The sequence below is a fragment of the Homo sapiens genome, chromosome 17, assembly GCF_000001405.40.
Source record: "Homo sapiens chromosome 17, GRCh38.p14 Primary Assembly".
In the NCBI taxonomy this organism is placed as follows: Eukaryota; Metazoa; Chordata; class Mammalia; order Primates; family Hominidae; genus Homo; species Homo sapiens.
The window spans coordinates 82,208,677-82,217,242 of NC_000017.11; the positions used below are offsets into that span (position 1 = coordinate 82,208,677).

At 56.1% G+C, this 8,566-nt stretch overlaps 1 protein-coding gene across 33 annotated transcripts in view, besides 4 other annotated features; it reads right to left on the minus strand.

The window, feature by feature from the left end:
- CCDC57 (coiled-coil domain containing 57) overlaps positions 1-4,166 on the minus strand; it is a 111,373-nt gene extending 107,207 nt beyond the window's left edge. For 22 of the 33 annotated variants that reach the window (XR_007065291.1, NM_001367828.2, NM_198082.4 and 19 more), the window contains exon 1: positions 4,109-4,166. Coding sequence is in view for 9 of the 33 variants with exons in the window: in XM_047435770.1 (XP_047291726.1) it covers positions 396-455 (60 nt within the window). In the remaining 24 variants the exon portion in view is untranslated. Of the gene's footprint in view, positions 1-395; positions 464-4,108 lie in introns of all 33 variants that reach the window. The other 11 variants (XR_001752485.3, XM_047435770.1, XM_047435769.1 and 8 more) reach the window with 1 other exon arrangement.
- Positions 3,707-4,626: a silencer, noted in NCBI's record as "silent region_9195". NCBI's record gives its function as "represses an Ori minimal core promoter by ATAC-STARR-seq in GM12878 lymphoblastoid cells {active_cell/tissue: GM12878}" and the evidence as "EXISTENCE:reporter gene assay evidence [ECO:0000049][PMID:35858748]".
- Positions 4,577-5,519: an enhancer, noted in NCBI's record as "H3K27ac-H3K4me1 hESC enhancer chr17:80171129-80172071 (GRCh37/hg19 assembly coordinates)". NCBI's record gives its function as "activates a minimal SCP1, AML or CMV promoter by ChIP-STARR-seq in naive H9 embryonic stem cells {active_cell/tissue: H9 hESC(naive)}" and the evidence as "EXISTENCE:reporter gene assay evidence [ECO:0000049][PMID:30033119]".
- Positions 6,437-6,731: an enhancer, noted in NCBI's record as "tiled region #4733; HepG2 Activating non-DNase unmatched - State 4:PromP, and K562 Activating DNase matched - State 5:Enh". NCBI's record gives its function as "activates a minimal TATA promoter and a strong SV40 promoter by Sharpr-MPRA in HepG2 and K562 cells {active_cell/tissue: HepG2 | K562}" and the evidence as "EXISTENCE:reporter gene assay evidence [ECO:0000049][PMID:27701403]".
- Positions 7,793-8,072: an enhancer, noted in NCBI's record as "active region_12994". NCBI's record gives its function as "activates an Ori minimal core promoter by ATAC-STARR-seq in GM12878 lymphoblastoid cells {active_cell/tissue: GM12878}" and the evidence as "EXISTENCE:reporter gene assay evidence [ECO:0000049][PMID:35858748]".

Consider the following 8,566-nt stretch of genomic DNA (forward strand, 5'->3'; position numbering starts at 1 on the left):
GGCACCACCATGCCCAGTTAATTTTTTTTTTAAATTTCTTGTAGAGATGGGGTTCCACTATATTGTCCAGCCTGGTCTTGAACTCCTGGCCTCAAATGATCCTCTCACCTTTAAATGTACTGAATTTAGCTCTTGTGGCCCCTCTTGGATTCCAGAGAGTGCTGCTAAGCCCTCTGGGAGGCCAAATTCAGTAATCTACTCTTTTGTTTTGAAACAGAGTCTCAGTCTGTCACCCAGGATGGAGTGCAGTGGCACAATCACAGCTCACTGCAGCCTCGAATGCCCATCTAAAAGCTACAGCTCAAGCGATCTTCCCACGTACTTATAGGTGTGAACCACTGCACCCAGCCTCTCATCTACTCTTTAAATAGGTCCAGGGGACAAAAATTATGTACCTGTGACCCCGTGTTTTTTTTCACTTCCTCCACTGACTGCCGAAGAGTAGCCACAGCCATTTCTAAAACTGAAATAAGAGAGATGGGCAGTAGGTCTGAATTCTGTCAGTGGCACTTGCTGGAGAAGAGGGGCACCACTACCACGAAGGAACATGAAGGGCTGTTTTCTTTGAACGTGCATTTGCCAAAAAAAAGTGAGTAAGTGAGAAATAGAAGTTGAAGTCGAAGTCTTGTAGTTGAGTTTAGACTTTGCGGACTTTTAGAACCACGTATACATGTTTCATGTGCCAAAAACAAAGCACAACAAAAAACAAAAAAACTTAAAATCAGTAAGGACTCAAAATGAAGTAGAAACAGGTGAACCTAACTTGATTACAAGTGCGTAACTTGTAATAAACTCACAGGTTTTTTTGGTGTTTGTTGTTTGTTGAGATGGGATCTCACTCTGTCACCCGAGCTGCAGTGCAGTGGCATGATTATAGCTCACTGCAGCCTCAAACTCCTGAGCTCAGATGGTCCTCCTACCTCAGCCTCCAGAGTAGCTGGGACTCAGACACACGCCACCATGGCTGGCTAATTTATTTTGTAATTTTTTATAGAGATGGGTGTCTCACTTTGTTGGCCAGGCTGGTTTCCAACTCCTCACCTCAAGCGATTTTCCCCCCTCAGCTTCCCAAAGTGGTGGGACTACAGGCGTGAGCCACTGTACCCAGCCAGTTTTTAATATATACAGAGACACAGATATACTGAAATAGATTTGCATGTGTATAGTGTATAGAAACACGTTTCCTACTCTATCCATTAAGAAAGCCAAGAAGAAATGGCATCCCAGTAGCAATATGTCTATCTGGTACTGGGATCTTGGTTTCTAAACACTACCTTCTAAACTAAAAGGAACCAGGGCTCCTTGGAGAAATGACTGATTCTGGGATATGTCAAGGCAAGCATAAGATAAGCCTGAATTCTGTGATGCCAGAAAGAAAGAAAATGCTCCCAGAAGGTTGGGACGTGCTATAAGGACAGAGAGGCCAACTTGAAGGGGCTCCTAACACCTCAATCTGGATAATGTGAGCAACAAAGTACGTGATAGCGATGGGTTAGAATCCATGGAATAAAAAGATGCACTAACACCGAGACCGCGCCCCTGCAAGCCAGCCTGGGAAGAGATGGTTCTTTCTTATAGGAAAATCCCAACTAATAAATGTAGGAGTAATGGAAACAGAAAAATCATTTAACAAATAGCACATTAACAGTTATTTTGGGGAAACACTCATGGGTGCTAAAATTAGTGACAGAAGTATGGTTAGAAACAAGATCTTGCTGGGCGTTGTGGCTCAGGCCTGTAATCCCAGCACTTTCGGAGGCCAAGGCGGGCGGATCACTTGGGGTCAGCAGTTCGAGACCAGCCTGACCAACATGGTGAAACCCCGTCTCTACTAAAAATACAAAAAAAAAAAAAATAGCCGGGCATGGTGGCAGGCGCTGGTAATCCCAGCTGCTCAGGAGGCTGAGGCAGGACAATCACTTGAACCCGGGAGGCAGAGGTTGCAGTGAGCCGAGATCAAGCCACTGCACTCCAGCTTGGGCGAGAGAGAGAGAGACTCAGTCTCAAAAAAATAAAATTAATTAAAAAAAAAAAAAGGCCGGGCACGGTGGCTCACACCTGTAATCCTAGCACTTTGGGAGGCCAAGGTGGTGGATCACCTGAGGTCAGAAGTTTGAGACCAGCCTGGCCAACATGACGAAACCTCGTCTCTACTAAAAATACACAGATTAGCTGGGGGTGGTGGTGGGCGGCTGTAATCCCAGCTACTTGAGAGGCTGAGGCAGGAGAATCACTTCAACCCAGGAGGCAGAGGTTGCAGTGGGCCGAGATCGCGCCACTGAACTCCAGCCTGGGCGGCAAAGAGAGACTCCGTCTTAAAAAAAAAAAAAAAAGAAAAAAAAAAAAGAAAAAGAGAGAAAGAAAGAAACATCATCTTTTACATAGTGGCAAGATATTTCCCCACAAAATATTTATTATTTACAAAGGGAAGGACCCTAACTTTATGGACACACTTGGCAGACACCACCTCAGCCCCCAGGACGTGACTAGCACCAACAGCCAGGGGCATCCTGTGTCTCGTAAGACGCTGGGAAGGGCACAATTTCCCTGTTGAGGTTTTCTTGCCAAAAATCAGTAATATGAAATCAATTATGACAAAACATCAGAGAAATGCCCCCGAACTGGGGGGCATTTTATAAAATAGTGGACTCATCATTGGATCCTGGACCACGGTAAAGTCATCCATGAGGTAGCTGCTAAGCAAGAATAAATACTGGAGACCAGATCATGGGATGATACCAACATGAACGCCAGCGTCTACATGTTGCTGAATGAACTGTGGTTCTCTAAGAGGTCAGCATTCTAGGGGCTCTGGGCAAAAGGCACACGGGAAATCTGTGCTCCTTTTGTATCCTTTTTCTAAGTTACAGATAATTTTTTTTTTTTTTGAGACCGAGTTTCGCTCTTGTCTCCCAGACTGGAGTGCAATGGCGCGATCTTGGCTCTCCGCAACCTGCGCCTCTCGGTGTGGTACCCTACTTTGTTTTAACCTGACTGACTCTCTCTTAGCTGAGAGGGCCGGACAGACACCATTTTGGTTTCTTCGCTTGCAGCCCCTTGTCCCCGTCCCTTAAGGACATAACTGGGGCAAGCTGACTCCAAGCACATCCAGGAATGCGCTTACTGATAAAATACTGATAAGAAACTGGAGCAAGCTGTACCAGCAGCTCCTGGGAACGCGCTCGGTTGATGGTACCCAAAGCCCCTGCGTTTATCACTTTGTGATAATTTAAGCCCCTGTACCTGGAACTGTTTATTTTCCTGTAACTGTTTCTGTAACCATTTATCTTTTAACTTTTTGCCTATTCTGCTTCTGTAAAAAAATCGCTTCAGCTAGCCTCCCCTCCTCTATTTAGACCAAGGTATCAAAAGAAATCTAGCCCCTTCTTCGGGGCCGAGGGAATTTGCAGCTCTAGCAGTCTGTCAGTCGCTGGCAATACAGGACTCCTGAGTAGTCTCAGAGTGTGGCGTTCTCTCTATAACTCCCTCAGTTACAACATCGGGTTCAAGCGATTCTCCTGCTTCAGCCTCCGGAGTAGCTGGGATTACAGGCGTGCACCACCACGCCCAATAATTTTTGTATTTTTAGTAGAGAGGGGGTTTCACCATGTTGGCCAGGCTGGTCTCGAACTCCGGGCCTCAAGCAATCTGCCCGCCTCTGCCTCCCAAAGTGCTGGATTACAGGCGCGAACCACCGCCTCCGGCCTTTTTTTTTCCTCTCTTTTTTTTTTTTTTTTTTTAAACTCACAGACACTGTAAGGCTGCCTGGGCGCGGAGCCGTCCTTGCCGGCGGCGGAACCCGGGGAATTCTCCCGGGGCTGCGGGGCCCTGGTCGGCAGCGCCCACCGCCCCAGGTCACCCACGGGAGACCGAGGGAACGCTCCCGCTCCACGCGGCCGCAACCCCCGCCCCGCCCCGCCGCAGCCTCCGCGAGGGGATCCCCGGTCCGGGCCTGGCCGAGCTCTGAGGGTCGACCTCGCGCTCCAGGTCCCCACCAAAGCGCTGCGTCCGACAGGACGGCAGCTGCTGGGGTTTTCTACAGGAAGAGTGGTCGGAGCGGCGCCCCCCACGCCTCCCACGCCTCCCACGCCGCCCGCCCGCACCTCACCCTAACGCCCGCCAGCAGCGCTGGCCAGGTCCCGCCGCGTTGCCACAGCGACCGGGTCAGTCGGCCGCGTCCGGCTGCGCTCGGTGCAGCGCTCGGGTCCCGCCGACAGGAAACGGGGTCCCTGGCGCTAGGTTCCGGCCCCTCCCGCCCCGCCGGGTTCCGCGCTGCGCCCGGGTCCGAGGGGCGCCCCGGCCGACCCGACCACCGCCGCAGATCGAAGGAGGGAGCCCGGCCTCCTCACCGGTCAGCGGGGCGACTCCGGACGGGGCTCCGGGCTATGGGGACGGCGGGTTCCGCCGCGCGAGGCGCCCCCACCTTCGCCGCCCCCGGCCCGGCCGAGGGTCCCCAGGCGCCCGCTTCCTGAGGCCGCCCGGCTCGCGGTCCCGAAGGGTTGACTTGAGCTTTTGCCCTGAGATGAAGGGAGCACGGGGCGGCCGAGGCTGCCCGTGGGGGTCTGTTCGGGCCGGGGGCGCCACGAAGTCCTGCCTAAGGGTCGGCTGCGGCCACCGGGGCACGAGTTCCCGGCGCTGCCCACGGGCTCGGAGACCGGCGGGGCCCAGGGGCCGTGCGCGCGGTCGCTCAGACCCTGATTAGGGAACTGGGGGAAGGAGGGGGGTCGGGACCCACCGAGGCCCGAAGTCGCCCCCACCATCCTGTGGGAACAACATCCTCAGGCACAGCCATTCCCAACCATTCACATCCTCAGAAAAAGGCACGTGTCCGTATCCATCTGCGGATGGATGAACAGAGCCCGGCCCCGGGACAGAGCAGCCTGGCTCACCCGAACCCTCAGCCCGCAATTCTGCGTGGGAGTGGAGGGGGTGTTTGGTGTCTGGGAATTCCCCTGGTGGGGCAATAAGCCAGGGGTCTGGTGTCATCCTCCACCCACATTGTTAACACTGGATCACTCCTCTCCGTGCCGTGCCTGCAGCCCAGGCACCCTGCAGCCTGTCCTCCCCGAACCATGCGTCCTGGTAGAGCTGTCTCCCTCGCCCACAGTCCTCAGTCCCGCCTCACACACCAAACCCTCTTCTGCCTCAGGTCCTTTGCGCCAGTTGCCTCTGCCTAGACTTGGTTCCCTGGATGCCCCCTCCCCACCCCATGTGTATGTCCGGCTCCCTGGACCCACCCCCCACACTGTGTGTCTAGCCCCCTGGACCCACCCCCCACTCTGTGTCTAGTCCCCTGGACTCCCCTCCCCACCCCCTGTGTCTAGCTCCCTGGACCCCCAACCTGGCCCATGTGTCCAACTCCCAGGACCCCCCCACCCTGTGTCCAGCTCCCTGGTTTCCCCCACCACCCCATGTGTTTGGCTCCCTGTCCTGCTGCCTTCTCAGTGCTTGTGCACCCCCAGCCTCATCAGACTTGTCACTCTATTAGAACAGGATGTAGGGCCTGGACTGTTGGCTCCCTGCTACCCCCACCCACAGGACAGTGCTGGGGTTGACCCGACTTTGGCTGCACATTTGACTGGCCCCTGGATCAGCTCTAGGACTAGATGTACCCAAAAGGATGCCCACATCCTTGCCTCAGCTCCTGCCTCTGCCCACCCAGAGAGCTGCCTTGCCCCCATGTCCACGATGCAGCCACCAGGCCTGGGTAAGCGTGGGTGTCCGAGACGGGCTGGGACACCCAGAAGAGGAGCCAGGACTTGCTTGGTCTGTATCCCGGCTCTGCATGCCTCAGTGTCCCTGCCTGTAAAGTGGGATCTATGGGAACCCATGTGTGGGCCGGGCACAGTGCTCACACCTGTGAACCCAGCACCTTGGGAGGCCAAAGGGAGGATCCTTTGAGCTCGGGAGACAGGGTCTCGCTCTGTTGCCCAGGCTGTAGTTCAGCGGCGTGATCTCAGCTCACTGCAGCCTCCGCCTCCCAGGTTCAAGCGATTCTCCTGCCTCAGCTTCCTGAGTAACTGGGATTACAGGCACTTGCCACCATGCCCAGCTAATTTTGTATTTTTAGTAGAGATGGGGTTTTGCCATGTTGGCCAGGCTGGTCTCAAACTCCTGACCTCAAGTGATCTGCCTGCCTCGGCCTCCCAAAGTGCTGTGATTACAGGTGTGAGTCATCATGCCTGGCCAAAAAAAATTTTTTTAAATTAACCGGGTGTGATGGCACATGCCTGTGGTCCCAGCTACCTGAGGCCAAGGTGGGAAGATCACTTGAACACAGCACTTCGAGGCCACAGTGAACTATGATCGCGCCACTGCACTCCAGCCTGGGTGACAGAGCAAGACCCTGTCTCCAAAAAAAACCCTCTAAACCTATGTGTTATGGATAGGGCCTCTAAGAAGGTAATTAAAGTTACGTGAGTCCTAAGGGTGGGACCCTGAACTGTTGTCCTTAAAAGAAGAGGAAGAGACACCAGGAGTGAGCACACAGAGGAGAGGCCACATGAGGACGCAGGGAGAGGGTGCCGTCTGCAAGCCATGGAGAGGCCTCAGGAGGAACCCACCCTGCCGGCAGCCTGATCCCTGACATCCAGACTCCGGAAGTGAGAAAATAAATGTCGTTTAAGCCGCCCAGGCTGTGGTGTTGAGTTATGCGGCCCTAGCAGGTCATTTGTCACGTCATGGGTATCTGGACCTGGAATCGTGTGCTGGCCCAAGTCAGCAGCATGGCACCCATGGTCACCCCTTCAGCTGAGCCACATGCCCGGGTGCCCCAGGGACAGAGCAGGGTGTGCCACGGGCACTGCCTGGTTCCTGAAGCTGTGGGGCAGGCCGGTCTGGCCCTCACAGCCTGTGCTCTGATTCGAGGGCCGTTCCGTTGGGTTGAGCTCCACGGTCCCAGAGCGCCCGCCGTCAGCTCAGGCCCGAGGCTACACCTACTGAATCCCCCCAGCACTGCAGCACCCCTCCCCTTCCTTCCCTGCCCCCCACACTGCAGCACCCCTCCCCCTCCTTCCCTGCCCCCCCCACACTGCAGAACCCCTCCCCCTCCTTCCCTGCCCAGCTCCCCAGCTGGGCTCCACCTGGGCACCCTCAGTGCGGGTGGCCGGGAGTTGGCTGAGGGAGACCACATTCCCTTCACTCCTGGCCTCCAGCACCCAGCAGGACTCACAGGTGGAAGGCAGACAGGGTGTGAGCCAGGGCCTGGGCCGCCAAAACAAAGAACCCCAAACTGGTCCTTTCTTCTTTCCCAGTTCAGGAAAGCTGAGGATGTCGGCCGGGCCATGGCCCCTCCAAAAGCCCTATGGGAGAATCCTTCCCACCTTGGCCTCAGGTAGCTGGGACCACAGGCACCTAACCCTTCCAGCCTCGGCACCCTTGGCTGCAGCCACATCGCCCCCTCCCGCCCCTATATCCACCATCATGCGGCTTCTCCTGTGTGTCTGTCTCCATGTGCTGCCCTTCTTAGGACGCCATCACGTTGGAGCAGGACCACCCAGCCAATTACGTCGGCGATGACCCTATTCCCAAGCCGCATTCTAATGGACCAGCGGCTACGACTGGATCCTATTTCTTTGGGGACCACCATTCAGCCCTGGACCTGTGTGGGGCTGACAGCCCCCAGTGCTGGCTCCCCCAGGCCGTCCTGCAACCACCCTCATCATGCCACGACAGTGGAGGCCGAGGGCCCTTCCTGGTGCCCCGGTGAGTGACACGGCCAGGACCTGACCCTCCCATGCCTCTGTGGCAGAGCAAGGTGGGTGGGGAACTGGCTGTCCTGCTCCCAGCTGCGTTCCTGGCACCTATGCCCCACCCACCCAGACACACATCTGGGTGTCAGGCAGCCGCATGTCACTGAGTGGGGTAAACAAGGGAGGGTGAGAGGAAGGTCAGAAGGCCATGGCTGAGGGCGTAAGTGTGGGCTGAGGCTCTTGCTTCCCAGAACACAGACTGACCTTGGTGGCAGACCTCACCATGGGAGCCCCCAAAAGCTGCTTGCTTGAGGCCTCCAGGCCTCTTGCAGGGCCCTAAAAGCACAGGGATCCAGGACAAGAGGTGCGGGGGCCCCCGCCTGGGCACCAGCCTGCATGGGCCAGAGCAAGCCACTTCCTCTCAGGTTTGGGGAATGCCCACGTCAGACTTGCAGAGGCAACTTCTCCATCTGTCTGGCTCACAGGCCCTGTGGCAGGAGAGGAGCCAAGAAATGAAAGGGCCCGGTGGGTGTGGGCGGGCCCTGCTCCGATCTGGATCTGGCCAGTGCCTGTGGCACGCCCTGCTCTGTCCCTGGGGCACCCGGGCGTGTGGCTCAGCTGAAAGGGTGACCATGGGCACCATTTGCCTGGCTCCCAGGTCCTGAGGCCAGAGAGGAGCCAAGAAATGAAAGGGCCTGGTGGGTGTGAGTGGGCCTCAGTGTCTGGCTGCTCCAGGAGGAGGGGGGTGGGCACTGACTCCTGCCTGAGGGCTGGAGGCAGGGAGGCTCCTCTGGACAGGAAGACCCTCCAGGAACAGACCAGCAAGACTGGCACTGTCCAGATGGGACCAGGAGCCGGACAGCGGCGTCAGACAT